Genomic DNA, 21,145 nt, shown 5'->3' on the forward strand with positions numbered 1-21,145 from the left:
TTGAGTGAATACATCATATTTCCTTAGCCAGCGGTATCACAGTGTGTTTAGTGAATTCCCTATTGTTGGACATTTAATAATCCCATGAAAGAGGTTTGAGTGACTTCCTTGTGTCCCCAGCAGCTTGTAAATGACAGTTTTCCAGGTGTGCCCAGAGCACTCTGTATCCCCTTAATTTGGTGATTTCACATTGCCTTGACATCACACCTACTGCTCCTCCACCCTATATGTGTTGTCTACAATGGTGAACCCCTTGAGAAGCTGAACCATGTCTTGAATTGACCTTTGTATCCATTATACATGGCCAGGTGCCTGGCATTTTGGTAAATGTTCACAGAATGGATGGGTACATGAATGGATGGATGATTAAAGCCAGGAGCTATTGAGAGATGGAATCATTTTTACATTCTGTCCAAAAATTCCTGCTTTGGAAGGTAGTGATTTACCTGAGATTGGAAGTGTGTGAGAAGGCTTGGCTAGTTGGCAGGATACTGTGAAGCTAATTCAGGCATCAGAAAGTGGACTGGATAAAATTTAGGATCGCTTCCAAGCTTGAAATCCTGGAACGCTATGAAACACAAGCCCTGGGAGCTGAGATATGTCCTAACTTACCCAGCTGAGCTGTGAGGTGTGAGTGGCTCTAACATTTTCCAGTTGTTTCTGAGGACCTCAGATCAAAGCTTCCCTTTGCCTAAAAGCATCTGCCTGCTGGTGCGGGCCTTTGGGGGCCCTCAGAGAGCACTAAGGTTAGAGTCCTGCAAGGGTGACACCGTTATGCCACAAGCAGTTGGGCGAGTTTACAGCTCTCTGTAATCTGAGAGTAGAGTCCAGATTGGTTTGATGAAAGAGGGTAAACTGTGAGTGGGCGTGGCTTGAGGCCCCACTGGAAGCCCAGGGAGATCTGGGGAAAGGGAGGGCTTTTCTGATCTCTCCCAATTAGAGGATTAGGCAATTGGCAGTGCAGGGCGGTAACTGGGGGCCAGGGTGGCGCCAGGGCTGGACAGCACAGTCCCTCTGAGCTGCACGGAGACCTCGCAGGCCCCCGGAACTGTCGCCCTTCCAGGATGTGGCTCCCTGCTCTTGTCCTGGCCACTCTCGCTGCTTCCGCGGCTTGGGGTGAGTCCTTCTGAAGTCAAATATGCGGGGCACTTTTTGAAATCCTTGTTCTGGGCCGAACTGGGCGCAGATGCGTAGAAAGGCAAAGACACAAAAGGTCCGGCTCCGTGGCGGGGCGCGACCTCCGTACTTGGAATTGGACTTGGAGCAGCTGAGCCCAGCCAGCCTGGCCCGCGCGGAGACACAGGGAGGGTGAACATGCTGAGACCGCCCTGCACTGCTTGCCCCAAGAAGGCCGGCAGCCGGCCCACCTCACTCCGCACACAAGAGAAATTTAGGCAGCTCAGTTTATTGTCCCATAATTCGTCCCGTTATGGCTCGATAACGGATAGCGGCTCAGGAGAATATTAAGAGCATCGACTCTGGAGCCAGAGTGCCTGGGTTCGAGTCCCCGCTGGGCGCTTCCTCGCTGTGTGTACTTAGGCAAGAGACTGAGCTATTCTGTGCTTGGGTTACCCCCTCTCTGAAACAGAGGTGGCAGTGCTACCTACCTCACTGGGCTTTGGTGAGGAGGAAATGGGTGGTTGTTTCTAAAGCACTCTTGGAAGCGCCTGGTATGTAGAAAGCATGAAAAAGGGGTGGATAAATTTAAAGGCGCTGTTTAAAAATGTAGTGTATGAATAGAAAATTCGAGCTGTGGTCAGGCCACTATATCAGGACCTCTTGCCATTAAAAAGACAGTTTCTTACTCATGTTCTCAACAGGAGGGGGACACCAGTGCGCGGGGCACAAGGGGAAGCAGCAGAGCCTGGGGAGGGGACAGGGCGGATCTGAGGCCAAGGGGCTTTTACTGTGGCTTCCAAGGATAGAAGAGGAAAGGCAGGGCAGGCAGGCTGAGGACTGGCAAGTTGGGATACTTCAGGGGCTCTGGGGCACAGGGGCTGTTCCTAATTGTTTTGTACCTAGCCCTGGCATGATTAGGGCAGGTGGGTAGTGGCCAGGGCATGGCAACCCGATCAAAGAGGCGGTTGGAGTGTGGGCTCCAGGTTGGCTGGACCCTGAGAGGGAGTTTCTCCAAGGTCAACAAGGCCTCAGATGCCAGAGCATCAGAATACAGAAAACAAAACACATGGTACATAGAGGGGTGCAGCGAGGGGCCTCGAAATACCCCCATGCCATTTTATAGACATAGAAACTGAAACTCACACAGGGAAATGTACTTGCCCAGGGTCAACCCGAAAATCACGCCTAGGTCTGTCTCTGGGTCCTGAATCCTGACAGCCCAGCCCCGTCTGCATCCTGTCTTCCTTCTGGCAGCCTGACACTGCGAGAGCTCTGGAACTGTGGGGAAGGGCAGAGGAAGAGAGGAAGCCTATTTGGAACTGAATGTTCCTTTACCTCTGGTTACTCCTGGCAATGCCATCCATTTCCTTCCTTAGGAAGACCATACAGGCTGCCTCCACTTCCTCAGTTTCCTCCTCTGTAAAATGGGCATGTTGATGCCTACCCAGCAAGGCTTATTTGAAGATTAATTTAAAAAACTGGAATGCATGCCTGGCACATAGTAGGTGCCCACCATGTTCGTGCTTCATATAACATCAGCAGCAACTGGTCTTGTTCTCACACTTGTTTCTGCCTCCCCCCATTCACCCACTTTTTCACCCTTGGCAATCTGGCTGCCATCCACCTCATCCTGTTGAAGGGAATCCCTGAGCTGAGCATGACCAGCCCAGTGGTTTCTTCTCTGACTTGACTCTCCTCCACCTCCCTGAAGTCCTCAGCAATCTTAGTTGGTTCCTTGCCCTCTTCCTCCCTGGGCTTCCAGGACGTGGGAACGTTCTCTCCCTGCTACTCTGATGGATCTTTCGTCTTGGCTGTAGTGGTCCCTGTGTTTGATCTTTGTTTTTTTCTCTTCCCTCTCACACTGGCATCTTCAATGAAGCCATACAAATCCATGGTGTGTATGCTCACTGTCTAGGAGAACATTCTGCCCTGCTCCCCCACCAGGCTTCCTTCCAGCCTTGAAGTGCACTCGTCCTGTGGCGTCATCTTGCCATGATATCCCACTGACATCTCCACCGAGCCTATGTAAACAGGGATCCAACATCACAAGCCAGGTCTTTGATCTTCTTTCCCTTCCATTTCCCCCCACGTCTAGTCAGGGACAGAGTCTTTTTCTTTTCTTTTCTTTTCTTTCCCTTCCTCCCTCGCTCCTGCTTGCATGCCTGCCTGCCTGCCTTCCTTCCATCCTTCCTTCCTTCCTTCCTTCCTTCCTTCCTTCCTTCCTTCCTTCCTTCCTTCCTTCCTTCTTTCCTTTCCTTCTTTCCTTCTTCTCTGTCTCCAGAGGAGCCAGGATTACAGGCTCATGCTACCACGCCCAGCTAATTTTTGTATTTTCAGTAGAGAGGGGTTTTTACCATGTTGGCCAGGCTGGTCTTGAACTCCTAACCTCAAATGATCTGCCTGCCTTGGCCTTCCAAAGTGCTGGGATTACAGGTGAGCCACTGTGCCTGGTCTCCAAGTCTTTCAAAATACCTTTTAGACATCATCATATTTCTACATATTTTTTTCTTTTTTTATTTAAAATTTTAAAATAGTTAAGATCGGTTGGGAAGATTTCAGGTGAAGACCAGAAATCCCATACAGTGCTGAAAAGGTGGAAATCACCAAGAAAACAGGCCACATGTAATGCCACCACCCATTGCTATGTCGATAAACATGCTTCCAAGGAAGTTCATCTCAGTATTGTTTGTAATTAGCAACAACAAAAGAAAAGAAGCTAAATATTGACATTGCAGTGTTGGCTATTAATAAGATGAGACATGGATGCTGTTGTGTAACTGGGCTTTGCATAAGGAGTTTCCATTGTGATTGGATATTCCCCTCTAAGACCAAATCTGAATTGTTCTGTTCTGTTCTAGCCCCACACTTTGAGGGAGGTGTTAACATCTTGTCTTTATCCAAAGCAGAGCAGCTGGGAGGACAAGAGGCTGGAAATCATTTCCTAGGAGGGAAGCTCAGACAAACTGAGGTGACTGGAGCCAGATAGGACCTGAGGGGTGGGCAGCAAGATCAAGTGTCTGAAAGGCCACAGGCTGCAGATCAGATCAGGCCAGTATAGTCCCATGACAGGTAGAACCAGAACTGATGCGGAGGCTGTGGGAAATGAATTTCAGCTCAGTGAGGAAACATTGTCTGTGCTGAAAGAATGGAGCAGACCTGCCCAGGGCCACCAGAAGAATCTTCCTTGACCTGATCACATCCTTTATCTGGAACGGTTCCTGCTGCTTATTTGTCTGTAAAGAAAACTCAAGCGCTTAGCCTGGCATTCTAAGCCCTCCCTGACATGCGCGGTCTCATTCCAGGAATATTTTCCACTCCCCCCAGACTCCACCTGGTGCATGTGGGCCATGCCCCCTTCCCCAGGCAGGCTCTGCATTCTGCTGCTCTGAGCCTCAGCAAATTCCCTTCTCTCTGCTGTGTACCACTCTCTGCTTCTCATCTCCCCTCATTCAATCCTCCTCTACTGCAAGTCCCAGCTCCTCCATGATGCCCGCAATCAGAAGGCCTTGCCCCCTCTTCTAATTCCTAGACTGCGTTATGGGTACCTCTCCCAGGACACGGCCACTTCCTTCCCAGCTGTAGCCCCAGGTGTATATGTGACCCTTCCCTATGATGGTCAGTGCTTGTGAGAATATGGGTCACCCCTTGTTCATCCTCTCATCCAGCATGCGGCTCAGTGCCAGGATTCTAATGGATAAATGTTTCCAGAGACTTCTAAGGGGGAAGCTAAATGTCTTGTTCTTTCCTAGTAGCTATCCTTCTTGCATTTATTTTTGGCTGGATGTTTTTTTGCCTCCAATTCTAATTTGCTCCTTAAACCAGCTTGATGAGTTAGGAAGGACATTGATCCCTCATCCCTATTGTACATCAAGAGAAACTGAGGCCTAGAGGGTTTAGGTGACTTATTTAAGGTCACTCACTTAGAGAGTGGGAAACCCCACCTGGAATCTGGGTCCAGCCTTTTGCCTCTGATGCATCCTGATTTCTTCTCCATATCCAGCAGGGCATCTGTCCTCGCCACCTTTGGTGGACACCCTGCATGGCAAAGTGTTGGGGAAGTTCGTCAGCTTAGAAGGATTTGCACAGCCTGTGGCCGTTTTCCTGGGAATCCCTTTTGCCAAGCCGCCTCTTGGACCCCTGAGGTTTACTCTACCACAGCCTGCAGAGCCATGGAACTTTGTGAAGAATGCCACCTCGTACCCTCCTATGTAAGCCAGGGGTGGCTGTGGCATGTGTCCTTGGGGATGTTCGCCTCACAGTGATGCAGGAAGGAGTCAAGGCAGTCCCCTGATGGGCTGATCCTTTGCTCTGGAATCCTTAAGATCATTGTAGATCCTTAAGAACATTCCAGAACTCTCACAGCATTCTGGAGTCCATTATTTAACACGTTTATTGAGCACCTACTGTGTGCCAGGCATGTTCTGGGTTCTTGGGATCCATTAGTGAACAAAGCGAAGATCCCTAGGTTCATGGAGCGTGCATTCTAGCAGCTGGACAGATAAAAACAGCATGCAAATTACTCCATGCGTCATGTGATATGTTAGAACGGAATAAGTGCCTTGGAAACAAAGAAGCAGTTGAGCAGGTGAGGGAGTTCAAAAGGAAGGATCTCATGCATTCCTCTGTCTTGAACTTTCACATAGTTGGGGAGAGGGCTGGGCCAGGAAGTACTGAGGGGTCCACTTGGCAAGTGCTCAACTCTCAGGTGTGCCAATTCCTGAGGAGAAAAATGGCAGGTGTGCCCATTCACCCTGGCCAATCTGGGAAGAAAAGCCCAAAGGTTCTAATTGGCCTCATCACCACTCCCTAGGGTACCAAGGTCCCTACAGGCATCAGAGCAGACCCTGCTCATCTTGGCAGCCAGGTGTTCGGAGGCTTTCCAGCAGCCCGCATCTGGCTGCCTTCTTTTCTTTGCTATTTTTTAAAAAATAATGTTTACTGTTTTTATTTTCTGATTGCAAATGTAATATATACTTATTACAGAAAATTCAGGAAATACAGAGAAGGAAAAGTAAGAAAATTAAAATCACATACAATATCCCACCACCCAAAGAGAACAACTATCAATATTTTAGATAGCAAAGTTTTATGATATAATATTTTGTTTGTATTCCAGTTTTTTTGCCTGTTGCTATACTCTCTTCCTTTAAAAGGGAATGCTATATTGAGATAATTTGGATGCCTGCTTTGTTCATTATAAGTAATCATGAGCATCATTCCATGCCATTAAATAGCACAGATTGGCATTAACAGCTGCTTTACATTGTATTGAACCATAATTAATCTCCACAAGCTTTTACTTGGGGTCATTAAGTGACATATGATGTTTTCAATAATATAACATCATGAATGTGAAGCCTTATGCACATATATGAATATTTTAGGATAGCTGCTCAGAAACGACATTTCTGAGTCAAAGAGTATATACCTCTTGTTTGATTTCCCTCCCAAAATATTCCAACTACACTCCTCCCATTGATGTATGAACATCTCCATTTGGCAGACTCTTGGCAATGCTTGGGATTATTAAAAAATGTTTTTGGCTATTGGATAGGCAAAATAATAATAACAATAACAGCAATATTATTTTCCTCTTTAATTTGCATTTATCTGAAGACTAGTGAAGTTGAGTTCTTTTCCCTTTCTTCACATTGGAATGTCTTTTTTTTTATTATTATTGTTGTTATGCCTCTTGCACTTGGTGATCTGTAGGAAAATTTCCCAGGTTGGAAATCAAGAAGTCATCTTTGCTGGCTCTGATTCTGTCACTTGACAGCTGTGTCATCCCAGAGTCTGAGTGCCTCAGTTTCCTCATGTACCTAGTGGGGGCGGTGATGACTGCCTTTTGGTACATTGAGGTCTGGGACTGTTGCTTATAATATACTTGTGTATAAGCACCACATGGCATGGATCTTCTTGGCTATGTGATGTTGGTCAGGTTCTCTAACCTCTCTAGGCTTCAGTTTTCTCATCTGTAAAATGGAAATAATAGAACCTACCTAATGGGACTGTTCTGAGGCTTAAATGAGTTAATATACAAAAGGTACTTAAAACAGTGCCTGGAACACTGGGAGAACTCAATAACTGTTACCAATGTTCATCTATGTTGTATCCTCAAGATCTTTCATCAGGGCAACCACAGCAGCACTTGCCTGGGATAGGCGGATGGTAGAATCTTGGCATGTCAGGGCTGCAAGACCCATGTAGAAATCACTGCTCTCACTTAGACCTGGCAGATTTGGGACCCAGAATGTGAAAGGAATTCACCCAAGGTCATCCCGTAAATGTGTGGGAGAGACAAAACTAGAGCACAGTTCTCCTGATGTTGTCCCAAAAAGATTTTACCCCTAAGACATTGCAAGAAATGTCACCTCCCAGGGAAGATCGTTGTATTGGTTTTCTTCCCTCCTTGATGCTGGGAGTCCCGAAGGCTCCAGGAAGGGAAGAGGTGTGAAGCCCTTCTCACTCTGCTTGGTCTTAGGAGACCTTAGTGAGTCCCAGCACCCCCACCTGAAGCCACTGATAGCCTCCTACCCACTACAATGTCGTGAGTCTGTAAATATCAAGTCCATTTCCAGGCTTGAACCTCCCAGCCCAAGGCACTGCCCTAGAACACACCTCGCTTAGATCTGGCTGAACTTCAGGGGTTCTTCTTTCCCCCTCCCCAGGTTCACCCAAGATCCCAAGGCGGGGCAGTTAATCTCAGAGCTATTTACAAACTGAAAAGAGAACATTCCTCTCAAGCTTTCTGAAGACTGTCTTTACCTCAATATTTACACTCCTGCTGACTTGACCAAGAAAAACAGGCTGCCGGTAAGCCATGGGATCCCCTGGTCAAGGCGTGTCAGCGCCAGTACCCTGCATCTTCTGGGGCAGAATGGAAGGGAGTGAAGGCAGCTTGGGGAGGGAGCTGCACAGGCCAGGATTGTTTCAGAGACCCCAGGGCCTCCACAGGAAACACTGGTTTTCCACACCTCAGTTTCCCCTCATGACACAGGGACTCTGGGGGAGTTTGCTGTGCATCTTTAATGAACATCTTAATTGTTCCAAGTTCCCTCATGCTAATAGAAGGATGATAATGATTACTTTTAGTTACTAGATTAAAAATCTGATATCCACAGTGGGTAAGACATGATTTTCAATAATGTTAGTGGTGGAAGGAACTTAGAGAAAAGCCAACACCCCAACTCTTCTTTTTCAAATAGAGAAACTGAGGCCCAGACAGGGAAGGAGAGGTCACACAATAGGGTAGTTTTGGCTCAAGTCTTCTGATCTTCAAATCAGTGCTTTCGACAGGGATTAGGGCATTGAGCTTTTATGTGGCCTTCTCCAGTACATCAACATTCATCTGGGGTAACTTTCACTGTCCAGGTACAGGTGTTGAGGGAAGAACATGGGACAATCCCAGAAGCATTTCCTTTTGCCTTTGGCCAAATATCTGGGATTTTTTTTACCTAATTTCCCTCCTTAATTGTCTTGGCAACGGCTGATGACCCAGTGAGTTAGCATTTCCCAAATAAATGAAGGGCGGGAGATGGGGCAGGCTGCCAGCTGCAGGTTGGAGGGTGGGGAGGGTCTGCTGTCAAAGGAGGCCACTCCAGGGTGTAAAAAGAAGGGGTGTTGTGTCCAGCCAGTCTCCCAGGGGCACCGTGGCATGGTGCCTAGGAGTGGGGGAGCAGGTCTGCAAACATGGGACTAGAAGTTGGCCCTACGTGTACTTTGTAAGACAAAGGAAGTGGGAGAAACGTTTACTCATTCATTCATTCATTCATTCATTCATTCTTCTATTGTGTACTCAGTGCCCCATATACACAGTTAGACCCAGGGCTTCAGGGAAAGGAGGAACATGAATCCACTCCACGCAGCCCCTGCCTTCAAAGATCTTGCCATCTGGGCTGTAGAGACATATTCTCTCTTCAGCAGGTTATTGCAGGCCAGCCCTTGGGCTCAGCCTTCACACAAAGATGAATGCACACTCAGTCCTTCCCCAGGAGGCAGCCATGGATTAGATGTGTGGGAGAAACAGGGGCTCTGGGAACCTGGAGGCAGGAGAACCTCTAGGAATGGCCACAGGTTCTAGAACTACACAGTCTAGGTTTAAATCCTGGTTCTGCCTTTGAGTAGCTGGGCATTTCTTAACTTTTCTAAGCCTCTGTTTCCTCAAAATGAGAGTCACCACATATGGTCAGTCAAGGGTGACCACTAAGCTTGATCTCGGACCCTGGTTAAGTAGGCAGAGGCAGGCTCATACCCCTGCCCTAACAGTGGACTCACTGCACTGTGGCCGGCGCCTGCAGTATGCTGGGCAGCTCAACATGTGAACTCTGGAGCCAGACCGCCTGGGTTAAAGTCCTGCTGCTACCACTTTTGAGTTGTAGGACCTTGGGCAGGTTAAGTGCCTCCATTTTCCCACCTGGAGAATGCCACAGTATTAGTATCTACCCAATGGATAGTTTATTTTACTGTGCTTAGAACAGCACTTGGGACATAGTTTATGTTACGAGTTCTTTTATATTTCATGAATAATATTATTACAATATCATTATTTTAGCCACTCTCACTTCTTCCCCACTATGTGGACTTTTAAAATGCAAGAATCATGCATGAGGAATTGTATCCACTCTCATCCTCCAGTATTAGCAGAGTCCCTGGCACTTGCTAAGTTCTCGACAGTGTTAGTCCATTGACTGAAGGCATCCTGAAGTGGGTGGGTTTTAGGCTGGGTTCTGCAGGGTGGATAGGATTTGGGGATGCAGAGGCATAAGGAGGCATTTGAGGAAGAGACACCATCACAGGCACGTGTGCTTCTCGAGACAATCATTCATGCACAGAGAAGTTTACTTCACCAAGAGATAGTTAACTGAGATGAAGCTGAGATACAAGGGCTGCCCCATGGGTACGCTGAGTGCATGAATAGTCCAGGCTTGAGGGTGATGGGAGTGAGGGGGAGAAGAGGACATCCTTAGCCTTTGCTATGCCCATGATGATGTTCTCAGCATCAAGAGCCTTTCGGGGAGGAGGCACTGGAGGCTGGGTAGAAAGGAAGGGACAGCCAGGGTATGTGCAGTAGGGTGGTGGCTTGGGTCCCAGTTGGGAGAATTATGCAGGAGAGAGATTGCCTTTTGCAAAGTTGCTGGGAGCTGGTGAACTTTGGGTAGCATCCTCCTTCAGTTGTAACCAACAGGTAGGTCACCAAACAAGACATCTTCTGAGTGCTCCCTGGCTCTGTGTCCTGTAACTGGTATGTTGCTTCCTCTCTGCCCAGGTGATGGTGTGGATCCACGGAGGGGGGCTGATGGTGGGTGCGGCATCAACCTACGATGGGCTGGCCCTTGCTGCCCATGAAAACGTGGTGGTGGTGACCATTCAATATCGCCTGGGCATCTGGGGATTCTTCAGGTAAGAAATTGGACTCTCCTCACTGCACTTTGGCCCCCAGAACGAGGATGCTAGGACCCAGCTCTTGTCATGCCAGCCCTCAGGGGAGCTTAGCTAGGTTCCACAGTAAGGCATCCAAGCCCCTTCATAATTGGACACTACCTACCCTCTCACTACCCAGCCACTCATCCACTTGCCTCTGAGCTTTTGCATGTGCTGTTCCCTCTGCCTGGAATGCTTGTTCTATCCGAAGAACACCTCTTCATCCTGCAAGACCCAGCCCCCAGTTACCTCCACTGAAAGACTCATCTCCTCTTCACCTATGTTTCTCCAGCACATTGCTTTTCTCTGTCATGACACTTAGCAGGCAGCCCAGCAGGTGAAGGTTGACACATCTGACTTCTCATGGAAAGGAGGGAAGGGGCAGAGTCACAGAGGGAGCTCAGGGCATGTTGTGGGTGAAGGAATGGGGCCTGCAGATGGTGGGGTGTGGGAGCATCTGACCCCTTCCTGTAGGAGTGTTGGGACCCACTCACCCCATTTTCTGCTCGAAATTTGGCAAGCGCGGGAAGCAAGGATGGAGTCTTCCCCATCAGGTCTCCATGGGGACAGGAGTCAGATCTCCTTCAAGGTGCAATTACTATGAACCTTTTCTAAGTGTTAACATCCCAGCACCTCAATCCCGAGTGAGTGATGCGAGGGTTGTGGGAGGGATTCCACTCACTGATGAGAAAGCCTAGGGAGATGGAGGTTGAGTTCTGGTCTACCCATCAGCAAGGCATCCCAGGCCAGTCTTGGTGGTATCACCTTCATCCCTGTCAGCCACAGCCTGTGTCTCTGCTCCCCATTACAATAAAGCTGCTTCATGATCTCTCTCCACTTCCTCTCCTCCGTGTGTCTCCTCCACCCATGCCAGTCAGGTTTCTTCCTGAACACACCACTAGGCTGCTCTCATTGTGGTCACCAATGACCTCCCCCTGTGCTCCACCCAACCTCACAGGACTTCCCAGCAGCAGCAGATGGCCGCTCAGCCTCTGTGACATGCTTCCTTCCCAGCCCCTTTCCTGGTCCCCCCTCCTCCCTGTCCACAGGCCTCTCTTGTCTCCCTCTCCCTCCCTACTAATTCCCAGTGATCCCACGGAGCAGCCCAGAGCCCCTGTTTCCAGTCCACCTCACCTTTGAAGCCCACAGGTGTCACTCACTGCCTCTTCCCTGCCCCTGGCTGTTTAAAGGGTGCCCCACTCTTCCCATGGACAAGCTGAATCCTTGACTCCCACTGCCCCTCCCCAACAGAGACCCCCTCCTCCTCTCACCACACCTCCACTCAGCTGCTGCTGCCACACCCTCCCTTGGGCTCAGGAGAAGGCCTTGTGGGCAGCCTGGACTCTCTCTTTTCTCACAACCCTCTTGGCTCCACCTTCAGAATCCACTTAGAATCCACTACTTTGCACCTCTTCCCTGGCTCCTACCCTAGCCAAAGCCTTCTGTCTGTCACCTTGATTATGATCTTAAGACTTACTTTCAGATCTCTGCCACTTTCTTACTGAGGCTGAGTCGCACAGTACCGAGAGTGATCACGTAACATGTGCGTTGAATCATGTGATGCCTCTGCACAAAACCCTGCAGGGACTTCCCATGTTCCTTACCATGGCAGCCGAAGTTCTTGCCAGGGCCCCAGGGCTCTCTCTAGCTGCACCTCCTGACCTACACTTTCTTTCACTGGGCCCCAGGCCCATTGCACTTGCTTTTTCTTCTGCCTGGAATTCCTTTCTTTGGATATTTACAAGGTTCATGTGCTCGTTGTGCTTGTTTTATGAAGGTCTTTGCCTCCAAAACCTCAAATGCCACTGCCTCCAAAAGGCCTTCCCTGATTGGGATCTGAAATGGCACCCCCTGTCCCACCCCTGTTTTTACCCTTGTTCCATTTTATTTACCTCAATGCACTTTGACTACCTGACATCATTATATTCTCTCTATATATCTGTTTATCTGCTTGTGATCTGTAGTGGGAGCTCAGTGTCATCACAGGTTTTGCCTGTTTTGCTCTCAGGTGTGCTCTAGCTCATAGGACAGTGTCTGGCATATAGTAGATGCTCAGTAAATAGTTGCCAGTTGAGTGAATGTAGAACCATACATCACCACAATGCTGTACTAATGAAAGCAGGGTCTCAGAGATGCTGAAGCCCAGCCTTATTCTTAAAGGCTTATTGATAGCCCCCAGCCGCATCTGTAGTCCTGAAAGTCCTGCCATGATATCTCTGCTCCCCACCCTCAACCTGTTCTCTTCCTTACAGCACAGGGGATGAACACAGCCCGGGGAACTGGGGTCACCTGGACCAGCTGGCTGCCCTGCACTGGGTCCAGGACAACATTGCCAGCTTTGGAGGGAACCCAGGCTCTGTGACCATCTTTGGAGGGTCAGTGGGAGGAGAAAGTGTCTCTGTTCTTGTGAGTATTCCTGGCACCGGGCCCAACCCCAGGCTTGATGTGATGCTGATGAGATCTCTTGGACACCTGTCAATCCAGCTATGCACACTTCTGATTACAGTCTCAGGACTGGCCCTACTCACTGCCCAATCAGGGGGTGGAAAGCTAAAGACCAAGCTCTCCTTGGCCCACAGGAAGCTCAGAGCTCAGCTTAGTGTCCGGGGGCCATATGAATCTCTAGTTGCAGCCTGCAACGGTGGCATTCTCCTCTTCTAGCTTGATTGAGCTCTCTCTCTCTCTCTCTTTCTCTCTCTCCTTCCCACTCATTTTAACATAAGGACTCACTTCCCTTCTCTTGGGAAGTAGGGATAGGCATAAATTATGAGTAAGGGCAGGCGAAGACAAGAGGTGGACAGAGGTCATTGTTTAGCTTAAACCAGAACTATGAGTGGAGGGGACATGGACACTGAGCAGGCTGGGAATTCCTCTGGGGTGGTCTCATGGCTGGTCCATGCCCAAGAAGGAGGCAACAGTTTCTGTGACTGTGGGACCCGGTCGGCTAGGGGAGGCGGGTGAGAGGAAGGAGGGATGGAGCTGGGGATGGGGAGGGATGGGGCAGGGGTTGTGGGTCATAGACACAACCCGGGGTGTGAGGGGTCCTCCTGGGGTTGGGGATTGGGTGCGGGAGACACTGGGGGATCTGGGATGAAAACCCAGATGAGAGGTGCCGGGAGCTGTAGGAAGACTTCTGCCTGCCTCGAGGTGGGCAGAGGGTCAGCCCACTACTGGATTCCTCAATCCTGTGTTGGTTTTATAGTGGGGTAGATCTAGCCTGGAAGAGCAAGTGAGTCACTGACCCCACTCCTGAGCATGAACTCTCCTCCCCTCCACTCTGCTGTCAGGTTTTGTCTCCATTGGCCAAGAACCTCTTCCACCGGGCCATTTCTGAGAGTGGCGTGGCCCTCACTTCTGTTCTGGTGAAGAAAGGTGATGTCAAGCCCTTGGCTGAGGTAGGTCTCCGGCTGGTACGTCTCCGGCTGGACACCCCCACCTCCTTGGCTCTATGCTCCTGAATCCTCAGGGATCTCTCTTGTGGTCGGTTGTAGCTAATGTTCTCCTAGAATCACTGAGGCACCAATGGCTGAGCAGGAAGGGCGAGGAGACACCTTGATCAGCGTCCCAGTTTCACAGCCAGGCAAACCGACACAGGGCTTGGAAGGGATTTGCCAAGGGCAGCAGGTGATCAGGGCAGAGCTGGGACTCCAGCTCATGGCCCTAGCAGCCAGTACAGTGCCCTGTCTGTGACCACACTCCACCTATGTGCCAGGGCCTGGTGCCATATTGGGCAGTGATGGTGTCTTGTGTCTCTCAGGGTCTGAGTTCTGTGGACCCACTTGTGGGCTGTGGGCCTGAAGCAGTTCCACAATGAGCGCCTGATAACCAGGGTTGGTTCCTGGAGAATTCACTCATTGATTCATTTGTTCACACAACAAAACTAGGTGACTAAGTGAAGGCAAAAACAAGAAATGGGCAGACGTCATCCTTTGGCTCAAAGCCAGATGTCCGTGTGGAGGGGACATAGACACTGCATGGCCCTATGTGGCTCTGCATTCTAGTCAGACACCTAACACCTCCCCAAGCTTCTGCTATAATGTAGGGAATAGATGAATAGCTACAGAATCACACAACTAGAAAGTGTCACCTATGACAAGAGCAGTGAAGGTGAGGTACTTGCTGCCACAGCAGAATCTAAAGAAAGCATTGAGTCCTGGGGCTGGAAGAGGTTACCAGGGAAGGCTTGCTGGAAAAGTGACTAATGAGTCAGGAGCAAGGAACGTCCAGGGAGTGGGAGCAGCACATGCGCGTGCTGTGGCAGGAGGACGCATCCCAATCGGGAGGGAGAGACAGAGACAGAGCCGATGGGGCCAGAGCAGGCAGAACAGGCGGAGCGCGGCGAGTACTGACAGAGGGGACGTTGGGAGGGGCCACCCTGCACAGGACCCTGGCAAGGATTTTGTCATCATCTGGAGAGTGGTTGAAAGCCAAAGGAAGAGGTGATCGATAGGAATCCAGACCTAGGCTGAGGATCGCCCACTGGAGCCAGTGGCATGGAGGATTTCGGTAGCTTTGAAAGCTTGTTTGGGGAAAGCATCCAAATTTAAAGGGCTGGTACATAGGAGGAGAGAAAATGGGGATGCCAAGAATTTTTAGAATTTTTGAGAATTTTTTAAGAATTCATTGGTTATAAGCAACAGTTGCCCATTGACCAGACTTAAGTCAAGAAGGAGCATTAGCCTGGTGTGGTGGCTCATGCCTGTAATCCCTGCAATTTGGGAGACCGAATGAGAAGGATTGCTTGAGCCCAGGAGTTTGAGACCAGCCAGGGCAACAGAGTGATACCCTGTCTCTACAAAAAAAAAAAAAATTACGCTGGTCATGGTGGTGCAAGCCTGTGGGCCCATCTACATGGAGTCTGAAGAGGGAGGATCACCCAAGCCCAGGAGGTCTAGGCTGCAGTGAGCTGTGTTTGCATGACGGCACTCCAGCCTGGGCAACAAAGCAAGACCTTGTCTCAAAATCTTGTTTATAAACGGAGAATTAATTTTTCAAGGAAATAGAGGTCTGGGATGAGGCTGGGCTTTGTGAAAAAAACACGAAACAGAAATTACAAAATGATGGGAATCCTAGACTCTCTTATTCTTTTTCCTCTTTCTCTCCTCTGTCTCTCTCTCTGTCTTTCTCTCTCTCGCCCTCTACTTCTCCCTGTTTATTTATTCAAGAAACACCCTGGGTATTGATTCTGTCCCAGATCCTACACGAGGCTCTTGGGGCATGTGCACTCGCCCTGGCTCCCCCACCATGGAGCCTGCCTGCTCTCCCTCTGTGCCCTTATTTCTGGCTGCACTTTGCTTCCAGTCTGCATGAGCACCCTATCAGCCCCTGAGCTTAAGGACTCTCCTTTGGTTCCAGAAAGTAGTCAGGCTGTCTTTTCTGTTGTGAAAAATGAGCGTTTTTACATTAGCAGCTCTCCACCCTGATTCCAGGTCACTTAGGAGAGAGGCTCACTGTCTCGTCTGTGCTTCAGTGTCCCTGGATTCTTAGAAAAGAAGGAAACCAGAGTGTGCTTGGCAGACTGACCCCAATCCCCAGGACAGGCAGAAGGCAGCCTCTCCCTCAGGAGGGCTTTTTTTATTTTAATATTTTTTACATTTTTTAAAGTTGGAAAGAGGTTCTTGGTGCATTAATTGGTGTTGCTCTGTGGCTTCACTTAGGACAAAGGTGAACAGACCATCACTCATGGCCAAATCTGGATCTGTGCCTGCATGGCCCTTGAGCTAAGGATGGTTTTTTAAATTTTTTGATGATTGAAAGGAATCAAAAGGAGAATAATATTTCATGAACCATAAAATTATATGAAATTCAAATTTCAGTGTCCATAAAGGAAGTTTTCTTTGAACACAGTGACACTCATTCATTTACCTCATGTCTATGGCTGTGTTTCATGTCAACAGCAGTGTTGAAGTTACAGCAGAGACCACGTGGCCCACACAGCCTCCAATATTTACTATTTGGCCTTTGATGGGCACATTGCCGACCTGTGCCCTAAAGAGTCGTGCTTGATTGCTGCTTGGGACTCTAGTACACAAATGTGCAGGTGGAAACTCCTGGCCATGAAACCCCATCTATGTCTTGCAAAGGATGACACCCTGGTTTTTTTCAGAACTCACCTTTAAATCACATTCGCTACCTTCTGAAGCACCTCTGTGTGAATCATCTTGTCTAGGCCTCCTACAATTCTGCACATGTTTATTGTGTGGGAGACATGGCACTCTCCCACATGTGTTAACTCATGAGGTAGGTGCAGTCATTATTCCCATCCATGAGTGGAGAAACCAAGGCCCAAAGAAATCAGGTGGACTGCCTGCAGCCTAATGGCTGGTAAGTGGAACAACCAGGATTTGAAAGCAGACAAGGAAATTCAGGATTCCATGCTCTCTATCCCAGCTCCACCTTGCCTTTCATGACACATTCAGCTGGAGATGATTATGTCCGTTTCAATGGAGATAAGGTAGCAGAGATGAGAGATTACATAATTGACCCATGTTACAATTGAGATTAGTAACAGAGGCAACGATCTGTGGGACCTGGAACCCACACCCATGGGTCTACAGTATCTTCTGCTGCCCCCTGCCACTGGTACAAGTTGGGCTTGGGATAGAATGCCACTTTCCATGTTGATGGAGGGAAGGGACTTCACTCTTGAACTCTGTTGCCTGTGATCTTTGCAGCAAATTGCTATCACTGCTGGGTGTAAAACCACCACCTCAGCTGTGATGGTTCACTGCCTGCGACAGAAGACGGAAGAGGAGCTCTTGGAGACGACATTGAAAATGGTAGGTTGCCTGTTCCCGTAGCCCAAACACTGTAAACTTGGTCCCAGACTTCTTCATTTCAGCGGTCCTCTTGCCCTGGGACAGTTACCTGGGACAATTTCTCAAGTCTCGGGAGTCTCAGTATCTGAATGGGGAATCTAATTTGTCCTTTTTAATCGTAAAATGGCACAAATGTATAAAAAGAAAGTCAAAAAATAACATGATAAAGAATTGACCAAATTTACTATTTGATGAAAATTTAATATTTTGCCATTCTTGTTTTCAGATGTATTTTTGAGAAACTAAACATTACATATTCCCAGGGGACACCATCATGCTGAATTTGGGGGATGGAGATATTAAGCTCAAAGATTTTCAGAAAGATGTCACAATTTATCTTGGTTGACTTAGAAACTGTCTGTATTAGACCTGGTGGTGGTCCAGTTACATATATTTTCTGAGACTCTGACTCATTTATTGTTCTAGGATAGTCATTTGTCCACTCAATCATTAATCCATCTACTATGATCTTCTTATCCATCTGTATGTTCACTAATTCATCGCTTTCACTTATCTATTTTTATCAATCTAATATCAACCTGTTCGTAACTTTTTATGTATCTATTTTCAATCCATCCACCATTCATGGATCATCCAGCCACCTTATATCTCAACTCCATCACCCATTCCTCCAAAATCAACAATCCAGTTATCGCCTGTCTGCTAGTTTTCACCCATCTATTCATGTATCCATTCAATTCAACTGTACTCCATGTATTGACCAACTCCATCCATCCCTCCATTGATCCATCCATCCATCCATGCTAAATATGTAGGGGTGGGTGTTAGAGGTAGCAAAACAGACATGAAGTGGACATAGTCCCTGCTCTCAAGGAACTATCCAAAGAGAAATACATTCATATACTTCGCAGGTTGAGTATGGTGGCAGCACAGAGGGGAAGCATTCATTGTAGTAATCAGGGATGCTTCACAGAGAAGGCGGAGGAGCCAGATTTGAGACCAGACAGTGGAATTCAGGAGTTCATGCCCTTAACCCTGACTCCACCTTATCTTTCCTGAGAAATTCAGCTTTCAGATCATTGTGCCCATTTTAACAGAGGTAACAAAGACAGATAAATTTTGTAATTGCCCCATGTCACAGTTCTAATTAGTCAGAGGCAACACTGTGGGACACAGAGCCCACACCTGCGGGTCTAGAGTATCTTCTGCCTTCCCTGCTCCCTGCCATCCTCACATATTAGGACCTGGGGACCTTTAGGATTGATGGATGGCTGTGGCAGTCTCTCATCACAGGGAAGCCCAGCAGGACAAACACCCAGATGACACAGCACCCAGGGCCGTTGGGAACTATTCCCTTTGAGGGAGAAGAGTGTGAATTCCAAGCTCAGGAGTAGCCTGGACTCTCTCTTTGGACCTGAGGCTACTCCTGGGTCCCAGGGCCGGCCTCTACCACTGGACTCTGCTTGTGTTTCCATGGGTTGAGTCCAATGTGGTCTTGGGGCTTAGGTCTTGGTTCAGTCTCTAAGTGACCAAAGTGTTCAAGGAATTAAAACACACCTGTTTTCTAATGCCAGGAAGGAGGCAAATATTCCAGCAATTCTGCATGTGGCATCAGAGGACCCAGCTTAAAAGGGGAGAGTTGAGTCTTTGGGAAAACCTATCCCTAAGATCCTGGAACATCCTTTTGAGTTTTTCTGAGATCTTGTGGAAGTGCTTCCATGATTACGCATTGCCTCCAGTATGCACACATGCAGACACACAGACAAACACACATAGACACACACAGAGAAACACATACAGGCACACACACACACACACACAGACACACACAGACACCCACACACACAAAGAGACACACACACACACTCTTGGCTAGTGGGACTTCAATCCTTAATGGAGGGACATGCACTGGTTACGTCCGGAGCACAGGTCAGATCTTGGAACTACAATGCAACACTACAGTCACTGCAATCTTGGTGAACACACACCAAAGAGAAGCATGGGGTAGGGTGAGTCTCAGTGAGCTTGCATGAGTCAGGGCTTTCTGATAGGAGATGAGGAAACTCCCTTAAGTACCTTGAACAGAAAAAGAAATGTGTTGCAATAGCATCCTCATGTAAACTGAAAATCTCAGGAGTTGATGGCTTCAGGCATGGCTGGATCCAGATGATCATAGGATATTATTGAGAATCTACCATTCTCTATCCTTCAGCTTTGCACATTTCTGTGTTGGTTTCACTCTTAGGTAGATGTGTCTCCTCTGAAGGTTAAAGACAACAGCACTCTGGACTTATGTTCTATCTGCTTAAAAACCCTGTTTCTAAATAATTCCTGCAAAAGTTTTGGGGTAAACTATTGGATTGACATGGGTGTATGCCCATCCCTGAACTAATATTCATGTTCAGGGAGATGGAGCACCCCAGGTCACATATAGATATATGAATTCATGGAGTGATGGGAGAAGAAGGAGGTCTCTGAAGGAGAATTGGTGAGTTCTTCCCAGGTGAAGAGGAAGGGGAGAGGGATGGGGGGCCAGGCAGCCTCAACCAGCGGGGGTCCTCTCCAGAGCTCCATCGACCCTGGCTCAGAGTCCCCGGCCTGTCTTCCCCATGCTGATGCCCACCCCTCCCTGCTATGCCTTCACCCTGTGCTTAGGCCTAGCAGAGCCAGAGTCCTGCCCACTTCCTTTCAGCCCAGCCAGCTTGGCACCAGGAGGGAGAACCTGACACCCCTGTTGCCCCACTCACCCAGCTCAGTGTTCTCCTGGGAAGCCTCTCACCCACATCCTCTGCTTTTGTCTTCACAGAAATTCTTATCTCTGGACTTACAGGGAGACCTCAAAGAGGTAAGGACCTTTTGTTTCTGGATTACGGGTTTTGAGTCTTAGCACCTTTAAGTTCCAATGAACTGTGAGTGAAAGAATCCCCTCTCGGGTGGTTATAGTAACTCCTGTGTGTTTGTTGCCGAGGCCCAGAGAGGGGTAGTGACTCACCTGGGTAACACAACCAGGAAGACTAGTGGCTGGCCTGGAACCTATTTTCCTGACTCCCAGTCCAGTGCTCCCAGGCATCACCTCTGTGTGCCCTGGGCTCTGCCCACTCCCCTGCTTTTTTACATTTTCTACTCCCCAAAATGGCACTATGGAAGAAGGCTGAACCAGAATCTTCCACTCTCAGGAGGCAGAGATAATAGCGATGATTAGCCATGGAGGGAGGAAGCCTAAATCTCAGTCCAAGGACACTCGCCTCCTCCCAGCACACAGGAAACTCCAACAGTATCCTCCTGATCTCCTCACCCCCACCCCCACCTCCCAATGGGTTGACAGTTTCTGGTGACATCACCTCTGACGAATCTTACAATCCTGTCCTCTCTGCTGCCTCCCTGGAGGCCGCAGCACTCTCCTAAATGGTCATGGGCGGAGTACATGAGATTCATTCAGCAAAGATAATAAACACTTCCTATGTGCCAGGACTTGTTTAGGAGCTGGGGATATAACAGTGAAAAAAGAAAGACTCCCTGCCCTCTTGGGACCTTCCTTTACAGTGCAAGGACAGTGCAATAAAAAAGCAAATCAAGTATGTATTCCATTTGATGGTGTGCAGCATTAGGGGATAGAGTTTGTGGGTGGTTTCAATTTCAGTAGCAGGATCAGGGAATGGTTCAATGAGAAGGTGGCATTTGAGCCAAGCTCTGGAGGAGGCAGGAAGCCAGCTGTCAGGAAACCTGGAGAAGCCTATTCCAGGCAGAGGGAATAGTCACTGCAAAGACCCTGACAGAAGGGGCCAGTCTGGCTGGAGAGGACCGAGTGTGGGGACAGACTGGCTTGA

General features: G+C 48.6%; 1 pseudogene across 1 annotated transcript, besides 1 other annotated feature; it reads left to right on the forward strand.

The window, feature by feature from the left end:
* The first annotated feature begins 1,021 nt into the window (after nt 1-1,021).
* CES1P1 (carboxylesterase 1 pseudogene 1) lies at nt 1,022-15,349 on the forward strand (annotated as a pseudogene). Its single transcript, NR_003276.2, has 6 exons — nt 1,022-1,116; nt 5,120-5,327; nt 7,788-7,932; nt 10,385-10,518; nt 12,792-12,945; nt 13,827-15,349. The product of NR_003276.2 is annotated as a carboxylesterase 1 pseudogene 1 (transcript).
* Nucleotides 19,566-20,765: an enhancer, noted in NCBI's record as "CDK7 strongly-dependent group 2 enhancer chr16:55813055-55814254 (GRCh37/hg19 assembly coordinates)". NCBI's record gives its function as "activates an origin of replication core promoter dependent on BRD2, BRD4, P300/CBP, MED14 and CDK7 cofactors, with strong dependence on CDK7, by STARR-seq in HCT116 cells {active_cell/tissue: HCT116}" and the evidence as "EXISTENCE:reporter gene assay evidence [ECO:0000049][PMID:35650434]".

This window comes from Homo sapiens, chromosome 16 (assembly GCF_000001405.40).
Source record: "Homo sapiens chromosome 16, GRCh38.p14 Primary Assembly".
NCBI classification, from domain to species: domain Eukaryota; kingdom Metazoa; phylum Chordata; class Mammalia; order Primates; family Hominidae; genus Homo; species Homo sapiens.